The sequence below is a fragment of the Homo sapiens genome, chromosome 7 (assembly GCF_000001405.40).
Source record: "Homo sapiens chromosome 7, GRCh38.p14 Primary Assembly".
NCBI classification, from domain to species: Eukaryota; Metazoa; Chordata; class Mammalia; order Primates; family Hominidae; genus Homo; species Homo sapiens.
In genome coordinates this window covers 32,892,794-32,913,284 of record NC_000007.14, presented here as the reverse complement: position 1 = coordinate 32,913,284, position 20,491 = coordinate 32,892,794, and the positions used below count along the sequence as shown (strand labels likewise).

Sequence of the window (20,491 nt, the reverse complement as noted above, 5' to 3'; positions counted from 1 at the left end):
TCGGCTCACTGCAAGCTCCACCTCCCGGGTTCACGCCATTCTCCTGCCTCAGCCTCCCAAGTAGCTGGGACTATAGGCGCCCGCCACCACACCTGGCTAATTTTTTGTATTTCTAGTAGAGACGGAGTTTCACTCTGTTAGCCAGGATGGTCTCGATCTCCTGACCTCGTGATCCGCCCACCTTGGCCTCCCAAAGTGCTGGGATTACAGGCGTGAGCCACCGCACCTTGCCTTGAGTAAATATCTTAATGTATGTATGCAAGTATTTCAATAGAATAGTTACCTAATAATGGAATTACATATTTTAAGTTTGACAGATTCTACCAAATTACCCTCCAAAAGAGTCTACCAATTTATCCATTCTCTTACAGTATATAAAGTGGCCCATTTCCCTATCCAGCAGCATTTAAACAAGCTCAAGTCTCCCTTTAAAAGAAAAAAAAAAATCCGGAGGCCACGCACAGTGGCTCATGCCTGTAATCCCAGCACTTTTGTAGGCCAAGGCAGGAGGACCATTTGAGCCCAGAAGTTTGAGGTTACAGTGGGCTATGAGGGCACTGCTGCACTCCAGCCTGGGCAACAGAGTGAGACCCTGTCTCTGAAAAAAATAAAATCCTCCCTTGATCCCATGTCTCTATCTAGCACTTTTCTCTCCTTTACAGCCGTTTTGTCAACCTCGGACTCATTTATTTTAGGAACTGAATAATTCTAAGTGGTAGGGTTCGATTCTGTGCATTGTAGGGTATTGTGTGGCATCCCTGGCTTGTAACCACTTGATGCTACTAGTACATCCTCCAGTGGTAGCAACTAAAATTGTATTTGAATATGCACCTGCAAAAAAAAATTGGTCCCTTATCTTACACTATACACAAAAATCTGCTCAAAATGGTTTAAGGACTTAAACTAAAATCTGAAACTGTAAAACTCGTAGGAGAAAACAGGGAATAGACTACATTGGCCTTGGCAGTGGCTTCTTGGATATGACATTGAAGGCACAGGTAACAAAAGCACAAATAGACAAGTGGGATTGCATCAAGCTAAAAAGCTTCTGCACAGCAAAGGAAACATCAACAAAACAAAAAGGCAATACATGGAAAGGGAGAAAATGTTTGCAAACCATAAATCTAATCATGGGTTAATATCTACAAAATATAATAAACTCCTACAACTCAATAGCAAACAACCAGATGACCTGTTTATTATAACAATAGGCAAAGGGCCAGGAGTTAGAGGCTGCAGTGAGAGACATGATTGCACCACTGCACTCCAGCTGAGGCAACAGACCAAGACCCTGTCTCAAAAAATAAAATTTAAAAAATAGGCAAAGAGCCGGATGCGGTGCCTCACACCTGTAATCCCAGCACTTTGGGAGGCCGAGGTGGGTGGATCACCTGAGGTTAGGACTTTGAGATCAGCCTGATCATTATAGTGAAACCCTATCTCTACTAAGAGTACAAAAATTAGCCGGGTATGGTGGTGTGCGCCTTGTAGTCCCAGATGCTTAGGAGGCTGAGGCGGAAGAATTGCTTGAACCCAGGAGGCAGAGGTTGCAGTGAGCTGAGATTGTGCCACTGCACTCCAGCCCGGGTGACAGAGTGAGACTCTGTCTCAAAAAAAAAAAAAAAAAGCAAAAAACTGAATAGACATTGATTCCAAAGAAGAATGACCAGCAGGTATATGCAGAGGTGCTCAACAGCAGTAATCATTAGGCAAATGCAAATCAAAATAATAAGGAAATATCACCTCATACCTGTTAGAATGACTGTTTAAAAAAAAAACCCAGGCCGGGCACGGTGGCTCACGCCTGTAATCCTGGCACTTTGGGAGGCTGAGGCAGGCGGATCACGAGGTCAGAAGATCCAGACCATCCTGGCTGACACCATGAAACCCTGTCTCTACTAAAAATACATAAAATTAGCCAGGCGTGGTGGCGGGCACCTGTAGTCCCAGCTACTCAGGAGGCTGAGGCAGGAGAATGGTGTGAACCCAGGAGGCGGAGCTTGCAGTGAGCCGAGATGGCACCACTGCATTCCAGCCTGGGCGACAGAGCGAGACTAGGTCTCAAAAAAAAAGAAAAAAGAAGAAAACCCAAAAGATAACAAATGTTGGTTAGGACGTGAGGAAAGAGCCCTTAGACACTGTTGATGGGAAAGTAAAGTGGTGTGAGCACTGTAGAAAACAGTATAGAAGTTTCTCAACAAATTAAAACTAGAATTACCATATGATCCAGCAATCCCACTTCTGGGTATATATCAGAAGGAATTGAAATCAATCTTGAAGAGATTTGTACTCAGGTTCAGTGCAGCTTTATTCACAGTAGCACTGACATGCAAGCAAACTACACATCCATGATGAGTGAATGGAGAAAGAAAATGTGGTCTATCCATGTATAATGGAATATCCTTTACCTTAAAATAGAAGCAAATCTAGCCATTTATGACAACATGGATGAACCCAAAGGACATTATACAAAGTGAGATAAGCCAGACACGAAAGGCCAAATACCCCATGATACCACTTACAAGATGAATCTAAAATAGTCAACTATTTGAGGCCACAAGTTTTGACACCAGGCTGGGCAGTATAGCAAGAGCCCATCTCTACAATAAATAAAAAAATTGGCCAGCTCTGTTGGCACATTCCTGTAGTCCCTGTTACTGGCAAGAAAGCCCTAGGTGGGAATGGCTGAGGCCTTTGTTGTGATTGTCTCAGAGCCCAACTTCTCCCTCTGCCCAATCACATTCCCTTTGCCCTCTGAGATGTTATTCCCAAGAACACCAATGTGAATTTTCCCACAATCTCCGTCTCAGAGTCTTGTCCCCACACATGCAACCTGCCACAGGAGTCCAACAGCTTCCAAACATAACCAGACTTTTCATCTAGCCTCTAGGACAAAGGTCCAACTATGGGCAGAACTACAAAGCAGAAGTATCCACTGATTGGCCCCATTCTATTTTTGTGCTTCTTATCCACCTACTGTCAATTTTTTCCAACCTTCTAGAGTCCTGATGTCTTCCTACTGTAAAGACAGCCCCAGTCCATTGAAGTAACTACTAAGTACTACTAACAGAGTCAGTTTTTTCCACACTACTTGTACTGCTATTGTACAAGTGTTAAAAAGGCAATCAGATTCAATGTCTTCACACCAACACATTAAGGAAAATCCACTCCCTTTCATCTTGCCATGTAATCTAAGGAAGTAGGAATTGGATGGTTTTAATAGAAAGTGGAATGCCTTTCCAGATCCTACAACAGAAGCAAGGATGTTGGGTCACCTATAATCAGGAAGCCTTCACAAGAACCTCACTATGGTTTTCCTACTCCAACCTTCTGTGATTCTGGCCAACTCATTCCTAATCTCAGCCTCTGTACATCGTGTTCTGTTTGGTGTGGAATGCTGGTGGAAACAGGGACAAGGCCAGATGAGTCCTCTAAGGTTAAGACTACATGATTCATTCCGCAAGTACCTGGGTGTATACTCTGCACCAGGCTTCACACTAACTATTCCATGGGGATGCCACAGGGGCTACAATAACCACGGCCCTAAGGAACAGATGGAGTCTGGTTGAGGACAGAATTGAGGCCGTGAGTCTCCAGAGTCATGTCCTGAAATAGGTTATCAAAGTGTAATAACAGGTGCTATAGGATCATAGCAGGGTCACCTAATCTAGCCTTGGGTTAGAGAGGGTTTCCTGGAGTCTCTAAACCAAGTACTGAGGTAGGTACTACTTAGGCAAAAAGTGAGGCCTTCTCAGGAGAGCAGCTTTGGAAAAGCTCTTATCTTCTGCCTGCCTTTGGGATGTCATCTGGCAACGCTGTTATCACTTTTCACCATCTCCTCAAACCCTATTTTAAGGTGCTCGGTTAGGACAGTGAGTTATAGCGTAGCAGGGACGTCTTCATCACAGCTTAATTTAGAGGTGACATGCAGGGGACCCATCCATGTGCACCACCATCCTTTTCAGTCTACCACCCAGGGAGTTCTTGGAGGCACCTCTGTCCTCTCCCACATATACAACGCCATGAATCCAACAATAGCATGTTCTTTCAGATAACCTTGGTATACCCCTCAACCACACTACACCTTTTTGGCACCTAGTCACCAACTTAACCTCTAGTATTTATTGGAAGATGATTGTGTCAATTGACTTAAGTCCTAGGTTCTGAGTATAAAGAAGTTGTGTTTACGAAACAAACATTTCTTTGTTTCTAGAGTGTACAGTGGTTGAAAGGGAAGAACATATGATACTCCAAATCACTGCTGCCCACATCTGTCAGTGTTATTATCAGTGTTACGTGTCAGGTCTTTATTTGTAAAAATGAATAGGACATAGACCCCATCCCCAGGGCAGTTCCCATCTGTCTGCAGTTCATCCCTCGGCTTGATTTGACCCCATCATTTCCCCTTAGCTAAGCCTCCCTGGAGGTGAGGCAGAAGTACATATGGCAACATGCGTGATGGGTATTGATTTGGTATCAGTGATAGAGTCACTTTGGGCGAGAAGGTAAAATGGCTTAAGAATCACACAGACATGCAATTCCATTTACTATTTTAAAACTTCTAGTTGAGGCCGGGCGCAGTGACTCACACCTGTAATCCCAGCACTTTGGGAGGCCAAGGCAGGCAGATCACGAGGTCAGGAGGTCGAGACCAGCCTGGCCAACATAGTAAAACCCTGTCTCTACTAAAAATACAAAAATTAGCTGGGTGTGGTGGTGCACCCCTGTAGTCCCAGCTACTCAGGAGGCTGAGGCAGGAGAATTGCTTGAACCCGGGAGGTGGAGGTTGCAGTGAGCTGAGATCACACCACTGCACTCCAGCTTGGGTGAAAGAGTGAGACTTCGTCTCAAAAACAAACAAACTTCTAGTTGAAAAGGTTTTATATATCCCATTATTTAACTTGTTCACTGGTGTACCAGAGCTTTGTTAGTTGAAATGAAGAAAGATCTTCCTAACATGACATTGGCATTAGTAAAGTCTTCCTTCAGGTGGAACTCAGCAATTTGTTTCCTAGGAAATAACGGAAATCAAAACATTTTCTGAAATATCTCATGTAATAGATGCAAGATAAGTTATACAGAGAATTACTATCAATGTATCTTTAGTTTCCATTTTATAATGAAGCTAAAGGCCTTATCTTGACATTTTGCCTGAATTTAGTTAGTCTTTATGATCACTGCAGGGCAGAAACGGCCTCTGAGTCAAGGGACTGCTGTTTAACAGCCCAGCACAAGGGCTTGGAGGGTGGCAGGGATACTCAACACCAAGACTCTTTCGTGCCACTTGCTCTCTGACTGGATGAGCTAAGCTTCCAGTACTCACCTCTAAACTGGGACATTGTAATAGTGAAGTCACTGGGATAATTTACAAAATCCCATGTAATCCATGATAAGCAAGCTGGACACTTGCACAGGTGTGCCAATAGAAAAGGGCTAATTGAGGCCCAGGCATGTTCAACATGGAGGCTCCATCTTCCCTTTTCTTTGTCACCATGTGTGCAGTAAAGGAACAGGCAACATGGTGCCAGCCAGGTAGAAAATCCATCTGCATAATAAAAGATTAGGGTGGGGCAGCCAGCTTCTTTGTGTGCTATGCAAATAACACACCTGGTCAGATCAATCTTTCATGCCCTATGTAAATCAGACACCACCTCCTCAAGCTCATCTATAGAACCTTCTGCATTTCAGCCGGGCACGGTGGCTCACACCTGTAATCCCAACACTCTGGGAGGCCGAGGCGGGTGTATCACGAGGTCAGGAGTTGGAAACCGGCCTGGTCAACATGATGAAACCCCGTCTCTACTGAAAATACAAAAAATAGCTGGGCGTGGTGGCAGGCACCTGTAATCCCAGCTACTGGGGAGGCTGAGGCAGGAGAATCATTTGAATCCGGGAGGCAGAGGTTGCAGTGAGCTGAGATTGCACCATTGCACTCCAGCCTGAGCAACAGGGCAAGACTCCATCTCAAAAAACAAACAAACAAAAACACCTTCTGCATTTCATTGCAGAAGTAGCAACCCATTTTCTCCGGGACCCCTCTCTGTGCAGAGAGCTTTTTCTTTCGCCTGTTAAACTTCCAGTTTTTTTTTTTTTTTTTTGAGACGGAGTTTCGCTCTTGTTTCCCAGTCTAGAGAGCGATGGCACGATCTCGGCTCACCACAACCTCCACCTCACAGGTTCAAGTGATTCTCCTGCCTCAGCCTCCCCAGTAGCTGGGATTACAGGCATGTGCCACCAGTCCAGCTAATTTTTTTGTAATTTTAGTAGAAACAGGGTTTCTCCATGTTCATCAGGCTGGTCTCAAACTCTCGACCTGAGGTGATCCGCCGGCTTTGGCCTCCCAAAGTGCTGGGATTACAGGCGTGAGCCACCACTCCTGGCCTGTAAAACATTTTTTTAATGTAGATGTTCAACCAGGTAAAGCAATATATCCAATAGGTGTACTAAAGGAAACTTGTTCGGAGTGAGCAATCAGAACCAGAGCTTCAGGACATAAAAATCTCAATTTTAATAGAATTTCATGTTCAGCAATAGAACTGCATTATATGAGTGGCTTTCATATTAGTTTTCAAAGTTTCACATGAAAGATCCACCCATACATGGTGGAACTTTTAACAGTAACCTAAGGTCTAAGAATTATTCTACATCTCTGTACTGTCTTGGGGAACATTTGCTTTCACCCTTTTCGTGTGTATCAACATCAGATCCAAGATTCTTTTTTTTTTTTTTTTTGAGACAGAGTCTCGCTGTGTCACTCAGGCTGGAGTGCAGTGGTGTAACCGCAGCCCCGACCTCCCTGGGCTCAAGTGATCCTCCCACCTCAGCCTCCTGAGTAGCTGGGACCACAGGCATGCACCACCACACCCAGCTAACTTTTGTGTTTTTTTGTAGAGATAAGGTTTCACCATGTTGCCCAGGCTGGTCTTCAACTCGTGGGCTCAAGTCATCTGCCCAGCTCAGCCTCCCAATTACAGGCATGAGGCACAACATCCAGCCCAAAATCAGATCCAAGATTCTTTTTTTTTTTTTTTTTTTTTTTTGAGACGGAGTCTCCTTCTGTCGCCCAGGCTGGAGTGCAGTGGCGCGATCTCGGCTCACTGCAACCTCCATCTCCCGGGTTCACACCATTCTCCTGCCTCAGCCTCTGGAGTAGCTGGGACTGCAGGCGCCCGCCACCACGCCCGGGTAATATATATCCCAGCACTTTGGGAGGCCGAGGCGGGTGGATCACGAGGTCAGGAGATCGAGACCATCCTGGCTAACACGGTGAAACCCCGTCTCCGCTAAGAATACAAAAAATTCTTCGGGTGGGGTGGCGGGCGCCTGTAGTACCAGCTACTCCGGAGGCTGAGGCAGGAGAATGGCGTGAGCCCGGGAGGCGGAGCTTGCAGCGCGTCAAGATCGCGCCACTGCACTCCAGCCTAGGCGACAGAGCGAGACTCCGCCTCAAAAAAAAAAAAAAAAAAAAAAAAAAAAAAATTACCATCTCGCAGATAGAATGAACCTATCTGATACGAATGCCAGTTTTTCTATTTCAGAAAAGGGGATGCAAAAGTTTACCTCTACCCTGAGGGTTTTTAGCTGAGCCTGATAAATTGCCATAAATAAAAAAAGAGAAAAGCATACAAATTTATATGTTTTAAATGACACGGTGAGGTAGGAGGTGGGATTCCAAAGGCGAGGCTCAAAGAGGGGACCAGATTGAGGAAACTACTTTCCATAAGTCACGCCCACTAATGTGCCATGTGAGTTTACCATTGCCATGGCAACACCCAGAAGTTGCCACCCCTTTCCTGGTAACGACCCTACGACCGGGGTTGTTTTCCTAGAAACGTCTGCATTACTTTTCCTAGAAACTTGCGCATAATTCACCCCTTAATTTGCATATAATTACAAGCAGATGTGAACATGACTACAGACCTGCCTTTGAGCTGCTACTCTGGGCACACAGCCTGCTGGATAGCCCCACTCCACAAGGAGCAGTGCTTCTGCGGCTGTGCACCGCCGCTTCAATAAATGTTGCTGTCTAACACCGCCAGCTCACTTTTGAATTCTTTGCTGGGTGAAGCCAAGAAACTTCCTGGGTTAAGCCCCAATTTTGGGGCTCACCTGCCCTGAATCATTTAGAGCCCTCATAAGGAAATGAGCACCCAGAGAAGTGGCGAAATCTAAATGCTTTTATATTAAGTTGAATAACGAGAGGCAGTTGTAGAAAAGTGACTAAATTATGTGTGGATGCTACAATATATATATACATACATATATATACACATACATATATATACACATACATATATACATACATATATACACATACATATATACATACATATATACACATACATATATACATACATATATACACATATATACATACATATATACACATATATATACACACACATATATATACATATACACACACACACACACACACACACACACACACACACACATATATATATATATATATATATATTTGTTTTTTTTTTTTTTTTTTTCCGAGATGGAGTCTTGCTCTGTCACCCAGGCTGGAGTGCAGTGGCGCGATCTTGGCTCACTGCAACCTCCGACTCCCAGGTTGAAGCAATTCTCCTGCCTCAGCTTCTCGAGTAGCTGGGGTTACAGGCACCTGCCAAAACAATAATTATTTTAACAAGGTCATTTCCACTGAATTCTCTCAGCTATGATGTCCCATTGAAGAATGTTTCTTTTCTCCTCGTACAAGGAGGGCATCTTTCATGTGGGAGTTCTTATTTCCTGTTTTCGGGAAGAAAAGAGATCAGGGTGCCCTTCTTGCATCTGCTGTTTTTCAAGTAGCTCAAAATAATCCTTATACTAAAGTGGCATATTTTGGTGTGGCATATTCTGCCTCTCTTCACAGTAAATAACTTTTTTTTTTTTTCGAGATTAAGTCTCGCTCTGTTACCCAGGCTGGAGTGCAGTGGCACAATCACAACTCACTGCAGCCTTGACCTCCTGGGCTCCATGATCCTCCCACACCAGCCTCCCGAGTAGCTGGGACTGCAGGCACACAACACTATGCCTGGCTAATTTTTTGTGTCTTTTGTAGAGATGGTGCTTCACCATGTTGCCCAGGCTGGTCTCAAACTCAGGCAGTCCACCTGCCTTGGCCTCCCAAAGTGCTGAGATTACAGGTGTCAGCCACCTCACCCAGCCAATAACTTCCTTTGAAAAATAATTTTTTCCCCTTCCCAACCCCTCCCCTGAAAAATACTTTTCAGTGGCAATCACATCTTTGAATTATGAATGTATTACAATAAATGAAGTAAACTGTTGGTTGAGGACAGTTGTATTTATAGATCAGAAGTGCTGGCCGGATGTGGTGGTTCATACCTGTAATCCTAGCACTTTGGGAGGCCGAGGTGGGTGGATTGCCTTTACTCAGGAGTTTGAGACCAGCCTGGGCAACATGGTAAGAACCCCCTCCATCTCTACTAAAAATACAAAAAATTAGCCGGGCATGGTGGCGTGTGCCTGTGGTCCCAGCTTGGAAGGCTGAGGCAGGAGAAATCTCTTGAACTTGGGAGGCATAGGCTGCAGTGAGCTGAGATCACTGGCACTGCACTCCAGCCTGGGCGATGGAGTGAGACTCTGTCAAAAAAAAAAAAAAGTGCTGGGAAAGATTCTTGATATTCTCTTCATTTACTTGAGAAATAACTCACAGTTTCAGATTTTTATTTCTCTAGTTTTCACTGAATTTATATATCATTTTTTCATATTATTGTGACTACTTTTCTGTCACTGAAAAATGTGTGTATTCATATTTTGCTAGAATAAAGTTTCTATTATAATAATTGTATCTGAACTTTTTTTTTGAGACAGAGTCTCGCTCTGTTGCCCAGGCTGGAGTGCAGTGGCCGGATCTCGGCTCATTGCAAGCTCCACCTCCCAGTTTCACACCATTCTCCTGCCTCAGCCTCCCGAGTAGCTGGGAATACAGGCACCCGCCACCACGCCTGGCTAATTTTTTTTTGTATTTTTAGTAGAGATGGGGTTTCACCGTGTTAGCCAGGATGGTCTCGATCTCCTGACCTCGTGATCTGCCCGCCTCAGCCTCCCAAAGTGTTGGGATTACAGGTGTGAGCCACCACACCCAGCCTGTATCTGAACTTCTAATAATTAGGAGAGAAAATATGAAATTTGTGGATATTTGTAACGTGCAGATCCTTATCAGGGATTTCACACGTGACTGAAAAATTAGCAATAAATGGCAAGGGGAGGAAGCAAGTATATTAAAAACATAGCTGACCCTGTTTAAATTGCTATATTTATTTATTTCATCTAAGGACCATGATCTTCCAATGGCTGCAGGAAAGAAAAATAATTAGCAAAATAACAAATAGCCTTGTTTATAGTCTGGGCAAGATACTTTAAGTTTTAAAAATCTATTTATGCCTTGACTTTCAAATTATGTTTTAAGGTAAGACTAAGGTTCAGAACTTGATTATTCATCATAATATTGTATTATCACCATTTTATAGTTGAGGAAACAGGCACATAGATGTTAAGGAGCTTTTCCAAATTCTCTCTAACTATGAACACCAGGATTTCAATCAGATCTCTACAATTCTATGCTCAAGGCCAGAAAAATAATCACATCACAGCTGTAATTAAAATAGCCTGTGTTAGGAAGACATAGGAACTCAGTAAATAGTTGTTGCCTGAATGGTTAGATTTATAGATTATTGTTTGCAGATTACTGCCAACTACTAATAAGTTCAAACAAATGTGAAGTATCTTTGAATTTCATTAATATATTAGTTATCTATTATTTTTTAAGTTTTAATTTTTTTTGAGACATAGTCTTGCTCTGTTGCCCAGGCTGGAGTGCAGTGGGGTGATCTTGGCTCACTGCAACCTCTGCCTTCCAGGCTCAAGCCATCCTCCCACCTCAGCCTCCCAAGTAGTGGGGACCACAGGAGCACACTACCAAGCTGGTCTAATTTTTGTATTTTAGTAGAGATGAGGTTTCACCATGTTGGCGAGGCTGGTCTCAAACTCCTGGCCTCAAGTGATCTGCCCGCCTCGGTCTCCCAAAGTGCTGGGATTACAGATGTGAGCCAGTTATCTATCATTATGTGGCAGATTATCCCAAAATTTAGCAGGCGGCATGAGCCTATAGTCCCAGCTACTCAGGAAGCTGAGGTGGGCTCAACTCTGTTTGAGCCCAGGAGTTCAAGGCTGCAGTGAGCTATGATCATGTCACTGCACCCCAGCCTGGGTGACAAAGTGAGACCCTATCTCAAAACAAACAAAAACAGACATTTATTATCTAACATTGTCTAAGGGTTAGGAATTGAGGAGTGGATCACCTGGGTGCTTCTCGTGCAGGGTCTGTCACAAGGTGGTAGTCATCCCAAGGCTTGACTGCAGCCGGAGAATCAGCTTCCAAACTCGCTCAAGTTGTTGGTTGGCCTCGGTTCACCCTTGGCTGTTGACCAGAGATCTCGTCACTTGCACCTCTCCAAAGACTGTGTGAGTGTCCTCATGACATGGGGGCTAGCTTCCCCATGTACAAGTGATGAAAGAGAGGGAATGGGGATGGGTGGGTATAAAACACCCCAGAGAGAAAGACAGAGTGAGAATGAGAGCGAGAGCTAGAGAGGTGCGGGGGGAGAGAGAGAGAGAGAGAGAGAGAGAATGCTCCCAGGATGGAAGCTACAGTCTTTATAACCTAACATCAAAAGTGATACACCATCACGTCTGCCCTGTTCTATTGGTCACACATACCAAACTGGACAATGTGGAGAGGATTACACAAGGCTGAAAATACACTGGGGGGCATTCTTTTTTTTTGAGACAGAGTCTCCTGTCGCCCAGGCTAGAGTGCAATGCAACTCTCAGTTCACTGCAACCCCACCTCCCGGGTTCAAGTGATTCTTCTGTCTCAGCCTCCCAAGTAGCTGGGATTGCAGGCTCCCACCACCACACCCAGCTAATTTTTGTATTTTTAGTATTTTTAGTAGAGGCGGGATTTCACCATGTTGGCCAGGCTGGTCTTGAACTCCTGACCTCAAGTGATCCACCTGCCTCAGCCTCCCAAAGTGCTGGGATTACAGGCATGAGCCACCATGCCCGGCCTACCGAGGGCCATTTTTAAAGCTAACTACCACAACTAGCTTTAGAAATTTGAAAGGAGGTGTTCTAGAAGCAGCATAGACCCCAAAGCTGGCTTCTCAGTGATCATCCCACTTTCTAAATTGGGAACATGTGATCAGAAGAGAATAAACAATCAATATTTCACCATTATTACACAGCTAATTAAGAGTTGAACTAAGATCCACTTCTCCTAGGTCTTGTTCCAAAGGTCTTTCCTGTATACCGATTAATGACCCATGGGTTGTCAGATCATGGGCTTTATGAGAAGTATGGCATTTAGCTTGGAATGTAAAAACATTTACACAACCCAACTCAGGTATCAGCTGGGGTCATTCTATACTTTGAGATTTAAATAAAATTTAGCTCTTTCCCCCATTCTATACACATTGGGAGGCCCATCATCCCTTGTAAATATCTGTTTGGATACCTGGGACATGTTTCCTTTTAGATCCCTGATTTCAAGTTCCTGTTTCTGGCTGAGTCCTAGGTCTCCCTTACATGCTTCAATAAGGGTTTTCCCTTCTCATGCTCTGCACTGATAGACTTTGTCCCTTCTCTTTACCCTCTTGAACACAGAATCAAAGTTGTGCACCTAGCAGTTGAATCGTGGCCAGGAAGGCCAGTATTGGAGTGTATTTATATCACAGAATAGTACAGCAAACAATTTATTTTATTTTATTTTTTGAGGCAGAGTCTCACTATGTTACACAGGCGGGAGTGCAGTGGCGAGATCCTGACTCACCGCAACCTCTGTCTCCCGGGTTCAAGCGATTCTCGTGTCTGAGCCTCTGAGTAGCTGAGATTTAGGGCACCTACCACCACGCCCGGCTAATTTTTGTATTTTAAGTAGAGACAGAGTTTCCCCATGTTGGCTAGGCTAGTTTCAAACTCCTGACCTCAAGTGATCCGCCCACTTCAGCCTCCCAAAGTGCTGGGATTACAGGCTTGAACCTCCACGCCTGGCCAGCACACAATTTAAAAATGAATCTTAGAAATCCTCTTCTAAAAACTGCTTCCATCGTCTCCACCAGAAAGACATTTTCTCTTAGAATTCAGCCACACTGCTCTCTACCCTTTCTCTACCTGCTCAGCTAACTTTTTTTATTAGAACCTCAGAAATTCCTGTTCATTTCTCATGCAGAGCATGTCTCATCCAGCCTGTAGGCCCTCATCTTAAGAATAAATATGCCTGTTAAAACATTTTCCTGAAATAGAGGGTTTTCCCCTTGAAAAGACAAAATATGTGGCCAAGTATCAAAAATAGTACATTTGATCTCTGCCATTGTCACAGTAACAATTTTGCTAGATAACGTACTAAGGACATTCATGATTTTTAGAATGAGTATTTTCCCTTAAAGCTAGGAAGAATTAAGCCTTAAACAATGTAATACTTTGCCAAGTTACCTCATTTTAACTTCGTAAAAGACCCAGGAAGTAGGTACTATTATTATTTTCATTCTATAGACCTGAAAACTGAGGTTTGGGTAAGTCAGGTAACTTGCCTCAGGTCACGGGTCTAGTAATTGGCAAAGCCAGGCTTCTGTCCAGTGCTGTTTTGTTTTGTTTTAAACTTTTTTTTTTTTTGCTAAGATATTACAGGGGCAGGAAAACTCCACCTTCACCCTCTTAGGGTCCTGGCTAGGCCTGAGAATTAAATTGACATAAGATAGATTAACAGGAGAAGAGCATTCAAAGTGACTTTACAAGGTTTATATGACGCAGGAACCCTTATAAAGAAATGAAGACCCCAAGAAGCAGTTAGAGTACGTTACTTCCATTCTGGATTAGACAAAGAATGTAAATAGTAAACTGTGAAAATGTGACGAAATTACATGGGGGAGCTAAAAGATAAGTTATTCTTGGTCAGGCATGATAGCTTATGCCTGTAATTCCAGCATTTTGGGAGGCTGAGGCCAGTGGATTGCTTGAGCTCAGGAGTTTGAGATCAGCCTGGGCAATGTGGCGAAACCCCGTCTCCACAAAAAATACAAAAAATTAGCCAGGTGTGGTGGTGTGCCTGTAGTCTCAGCTACTCGGGAGGCTGAGGTAGGAGGATGGCTTGAGCCTGAGAAGTCAAGGGGGCAGTGAGCCAAGATGATGCCACTGCACCCCAGCCTGGGCAACAGAGTGAGACCCTGCCTCAAAAAAAAAAAGTAAGAGTTATTCTAGCAAAGTCTGTACAGTATTCTCTCAGTTTCAACATTGTATTCTCTCAGTTTCAGCATCTCATTGTTGAAGATAAGGTTATTGCCTTTCCTTCTAGAACACGGAGAGTATCTTTCACAAGGGAATTTCATCTTCTGCTTTTAAGAACTAGCACAGGCTGGGCGCGGTGGCTCACTCCTGTAATCCCAGCACATAGGGAGGCTGAGGCAGGTAGATCACAAGGTCAGGAGTTTGAGACCAGCCTGGCCAATATGGTGAAACCCTGTCTCTACTAAAAATACGAACATTAGCCAGACATGGTGGCGGGCACTTGTCATCCCAGCTACTTGGGAAGCTGAGGCAGGAGAAGCACTTGAACCTGGGAAGTGGAGGTTGCAGTGAGCCGAGATCGTGCTATTGCACTCCAGCTTGGGCGACAGAGAAAGGCTCCGTCTCAAAATAAATAAATAAATAAACAAATAAAAGAAACAGCACAAAGTTCAAAGTGATCTTTTGCACCTGCTGTTTTTCAACTGTCTTTAACTTAGTCAACTATTTAACCCCTTCAATATACATAAAATTTATCATTTTAATCATTTTAAGTGTACAATTCAGTGACATTCGGTATGTTTACTACAATGTTGTATAGCCATCACCACTATCCTTTTCCAGAACTTTTTCATCATCCCAAACAGAAACTCGGTACCTGTTAAACCCCCGGTAACCTCTATTCTACTTTCTGTCTCTCTAAATTTGACTATTCTAGGTACCACATACATATAAATGTAATCATAATATTTGTCCTTGTGTGCCTGGCTTATTTCACTTAGCGTAGTGTTTCACGGTTCATCAGTGTTTTAACATGTATCAGAATTTCATTTGTTAATTTTTGTTTGTTTGTTTTTGAGCCAGGTGGAGTGGCACCTGCACTTGTAGTCCCAGCTACTTGGGAGATTGAGGCAGGAGGATCATTTAAGACTAGGAGTTCAAGGCTGTGGTGTGTTATCATTGTGCCTGCGAATAGCCACTGTACTCCAGCCTGGGCAGCATAGCAAAACCCCATCTCTAAAAAAACAAGCTATATATATATAGATAGATATAGATATATATACACACACACATATATAGTAGAGGCAAAACTTTACCTCTACTCTCTTAGGGTCTCTGGCTGAGACTGAGAATTAAATTGACATAAGATAGATTTAACAGGAGAAAAGCCTATATATTTTTACAGGCACATGGGAGCCTCCACAGGAAAATGAAGACCCAAAGAAGTGGCAAAATCTAAGTGGTCATATATTAGGCTGAACAAAGACAATTTTGGAAAAGTAACTAAAACAGATAGGGAGACTGAAGGAAGATAAGAGGTACTTTAACAAGGTCTGTTTTTATAGAATATACTTAGCCTGGACTCCCCGTCTCTGCTGATAAGAATGTTTTCTGCAGGCCAGGTGCGGTGCTTCATGCCTGTAATCCCAGCACTTTGGAAGGCCAAGACAGGCGGATCACCTGAGGTCAGGAGTTTGAGACCAGCCTGACCAACATGGAGAAACTCCATCTCTACTAAAAACACAAAATTAGCCGGGCGTGGTGGTGCATGCCTGTAATCCCAGCTACTCGGGAGAATGAGGCAGGAGGATCGCTTGAACCCGAGAGGCAGAGGTTGCGGTGAGCCAAGATTGCACCATTGCACTCCAGCCTGGGCAACAGGAGTGAAACTGTGTCACACACACACACACACACAAAATTTTTCTGCATCTGTTAAACAACATCTCCTCATTCTCCTCTCCCACCATTCCCTGGCAAGCACTATTCTACTTTTTTGTGGCTGTGAATTTGATTACTCTGCGTACCTTATAAGTGCCTTATACAATGTGTACCTTATACAATGTTTGTCTTTTTGTGTTCCACTTATTTGACTCAGAATAATGTATTCACGGTTCAGGTTATAGCATATCATAATTTTCTCCTTTTAAAAGGCTAATATTCCATTCCATTGGAGTAATGTTCCAATTTATATACATTTTGCTTATCCATTCATCCACTGACAGACATTTGCTTCTACCTTTTGGCTATTGTGAATAATGCTTCTATGAACATTGGTGTACAAATGTCTACTCAAATTGCTGCTTTCAATTCTTTTGGGTATCTACCTGTGAAAATTGATCATACGAATTGGGTCATTCTTGTCATATTCAATTAAAACAGAGTTGAGAGACCAGGGAAAAAAAGCCCTTAGGGCACAAAACATTGCTCTAAGAATGTAATTCTCTGTAAGCTGGCTGCTGAAACTGCCTGAAACCAGTTTTATCTAATAGCTACTAAAACAGCCTGCTGCAATTCTGCGACTAATTTTACCCACCGCTGTCTCTCACTACTCAGAACTTGCCAGCTCCTCAAAACTTTACTAGTGCCAATGCACTTTCTTTCAAAAGAATACGTAATATTTCTCCTTTTTATAAAACCTCCAGCCTTCTCTTTCTTCTTTGGACGTAGCAAAAACCACTTGGTCTGTACATATGCCCTGAATTGCAATCCTTGCTTCCTACATAAAATGTTTTAAATTTAGAGATTTGTCTCTATTTTTTTAGGTCAACATACCTAGAAATGGAATTATTGGATAATATGGTAATTCTATGTTTAACATGTGAAAAAGAATATGATATTAAAAACTGTTTTTAATAAATGCTTACTATGTGCTACGCACTTTGTTACACTGTCTTGAATCCTCATTCCTTCTTTTTTTTTTTTTTTTTTGAGATGGAGTCTCCCTCTGTTGCCCAGGCTGGAGTGCAGTAGCACGATCTCTGCTCACTACAACCTCCACCTCCCAGATTCAAGTGATTCTCCTGCCTCAGCCTCCCAAGTAGGTGGGCTTACAGGCACCTGCCACCACGCCCACCTAATTTTTTTTGTATTTTTAGTAGAGATGGCATTTCACCATGTTGGCCAGGCTGGTCTCGAACTCCTGACCTCAAGTGATCTGCTGACCTCTGCCTCCCAAAGTGCTGGGGTTACAGGCATGAGCTACCTGCACCCGGTCCTCATTCATTCAGCATAATATGACCAGGTTCAGATAGGTTAAATAACTTGCCAGAATCATACAGCTACTGAATGGCAGATTGAGGATAAAACTCAGTTTGGTGCTTATACACTTCCATTTCCTATGTGGGTCTCATGGTTTGATTGTCTTTGTGGGAAACATGGTTGGTGGTCTCATCTACTTCTTCCTTGCTGAGAGAACGAAGATGTTGTCCAGATTGAAGGAAAAAAAAAAAGGAATGTGCTCAGAGAAAGGGGAACTCTTTCCTCTCTCTCTCCCAACTAATGACTGGAGACCATAACAACAATCTCATTATCCTGGCCAAGAAGACATCAGGGGTACTCTGTTCGGGATTCTGAGACATATTTTTCCTACCTGATTAGAAGAGAGAAGGGAGAAGAAAAATCACCCCCTTTTCCTTTCTGCTCATACTACTTAAACTATATTGCTGAGATAATATGGCAGTTCCTAAGATTTGAAGTGATGCTGGGAAGCAATTTGGTAGGAGGACAGAAGTCAGTAAAGCAGAGTGGTTAAGATCATAGACTCTGGGTGGGGCATAGAGGCTCACATCTGTAATTCCAGCATTATGGGAGGCTGAGGCCAGAGGGTTGCTTGAGGCCAGGGGTTCGAGACCAGCATGGGCAATGTAGCAAGATCCTATCTCTACAAAAAATTTTTAAAAATTACCTGGGTGTGGTGGCACATGCCTGTAGTCCCAGCCAATTGGGGGGCGGAGGTGGGAGGATCACTTGAGCCTGGGAGTTCGAGGCTGCAGTGAGCTGCGATCACACCACTGCACTCCAGCCTGGGCGACAGAGTGAGACCCTGTCTCAGAAAAAGAAAATGCAGACTGGGCAACATGGCGAGACCCCTCTACACAAAAAATACAAAAATTAGCTAGGCGTGGTGGTCATTCTACTGCCTCAGCCTCCCGAGTAGCTGGGATTACAAGTGCCGACCACCACGGCCAGCTAATTTTTGTATTTTTAGTAGAGATGGGGTTTCACCATGTTGGCCAGGCTGGTCTCAAACTCCTGACATCAGGTGATCCCCCCGCCTCGGCCTCCCAAAGTGCTGGGATTACAGGCGTGAACCACCTGTGCCCGGCTGCATGTTTATTTTTCTAGGAATCATTACTATCTTCTTTCTGTTCTAGAATCATAACAATGTTTAAAGTACAGTTTTAGGATGATACTTTTTGTGGCCATCAGTTGAAAGGAAAGATGACTTATTAATAATTAAAAGGAAAGATGCCTTGTTAATGGAAAAGGGTTGCATGAAATAATGTTTTGGATACAGATCACAAGAGAGATGCTGTACATTCCAAAAGAGTTTGTGTAACTGCTAGAAGATACTGATGTATGACTCCCTAAAATGGACACTGGAACTTGCTGTGATCACTCAGAGCCTTCTAAGCTCAGAGACAAGATCTCTAAGGGAATTAAGATGGTGTTTTAGGCGGAACATCAAATTAACGATGCCAAGAACCTACAGTTATTCTAAGATGGCAGCTGCAAAAGGAAAGCTGAACGGGAGTCACCCTCCCCTGACTGCACCAGTCCCTTCTTCCTCATTGTTCCAGTCCCCTGTGAGACTTTGTTTAAGGGGATGGGAACCTTGAGATAAGGGATGGCAAACAACTACAACTATTTGAGTATAAATGTTCAACCTGTTCTTTTCCCAGTTAAGATAACACACCAAAGCGATTGGCCTTTTTTGAAACCTAGGAACATCAATCCATCCTAACAGCTCTCAGGGTTTTAAGTGTTAAAGAAGGATGCTTTAAATATTAACTAACTAGCCGACTGCTATTTGTCTGACTTGTCTGACCCAATATCCATTCCCAGTGTTTTTCTCTTTTGTAATCTTTATAGGTGGCCAAATTACAATTCTAGACAATGAGATGTTTGTGGAAGTCTGCTGAGTTTGGGAGATGTAGTATCCTGAGAAAGCTTTCACTTTCCTGAAGAAAAAAAAGACCATGGATGGTGGAAGCCACCCCCTTTCCCCTCTTCTTGCCTTGAACAAAGGTGCGAAGGCTAAAACTGCTGCAGCCATATTGCAACCATGAAGTCAATGTCGAGAGAATCACAGAAATGATGGCCCTGCTGTTCTTGAGCTATTGAACCAACAAAGGTAACTGCCTACCTGTAGATTTGAGGTCTTGTTTAAGCTATTATAATGGAATCTTTTCGAAAAAAATGTGGGCCCAAATGCATTCCTAACTGTACAGCCATTAAAAGGACAACTTTAGTCCTCTCTTTCATCCTCACAATTCATTACTCCTCTTATAGTCACTGATAACACCATCTAATCACCCTAACTAAAAAACTCAGTTATCCTTGATTTCTTATTTCCCCTCATCCTCTAGGTAATCAAGTCTTATTTATCATAGCTGGCTAGTTTTCAAATGTATCTCTGCTTCTCCATTCTCACTGACACTGTTAGTTTGGACTTTCTCTCCAACTCATGTCTGGACTGCATTAACAGCGTCCTAACTAGTATCCCTGCTTCCAGTCTGCTATCTATCATGCTTTAGAATTTTTTCTCTAAAATCTTATCAAGATATTCTCCTGCTTAAAAATCTTAAGTGGCTTTTTGTTGCCCACAGGATGAATCACGAACTCCTTGCCGCAGGTATCATTTGTTGTTGTTGTCTGCATGTTTAGACCGCATCTCTCATACCCAATCTGGCACAAAGTAGGTGCTCAAGTGTGTGTTAAATGACTTTAATCTTTTGTATAGCTTGTTTGATATCATACCACTTAACTACTTAATTAGACTAAGTACAGTGGTAGCATGCTGGAAACTCAATGAAGATTTGTTGAATGTAGTTTCCAGATTCTACAGTAAAACAATCCTTTATCAGTAGTTCCTGATAACACGCATCTTGGTGTGCATTCAGTTGATCTAGCCTAGTTTACAGGAAGAGGCTCCCTTCAGTAATGTACTGTATGGCCTTTCAGATTATAATTAGTCATCTATATTCTCTAGATTGGGCTTGTGCCAAGACTGTAAGTTAGGAAGGTAGGTGGAGTCTGTGTGGGCATTTCTGACAATTTTTTGATCCACGAATAGCTCCTAGCAAATTTACAGCCTGCCTGCCAGCAAGCTGTGCCAAGTTAACTAAAACAGTACGGGCCACAGCCATTAGCTGCTGCTACAAACGCTTCGCTT

The 20,491-nt window shown here is 43.3% G+C and overlaps 2 annotated features.

Annotated features, from left to right (window-relative positions):
• Window positions 6,733-7,232: an enhancer, noted in NCBI's record as "H3K4me1 hESC enhancer chr7:32945665-32946164 (GRCh37/hg19 assembly coordinates)". NCBI's record gives its function as "activates a minimal SCP1, AML or CMV promoter by ChIP-STARR-seq in primed H9 embryonic stem cells {active_cell/tissue: H9 hESC(primed)}" and the evidence as "EXISTENCE:reporter gene assay evidence [ECO:0000049][PMID:30033119]".
• Window positions 7,233-7,734: an enhancer, noted in NCBI's record as "H3K4me1 hESC enhancer chr7:32945163-32945664 (GRCh37/hg19 assembly coordinates)". NCBI's record gives its function as "activates a minimal SCP1, AML or CMV promoter by ChIP-STARR-seq in primed H9 embryonic stem cells {active_cell/tissue: H9 hESC(primed)}" and the evidence as "EXISTENCE:reporter gene assay evidence [ECO:0000049][PMID:30033119]".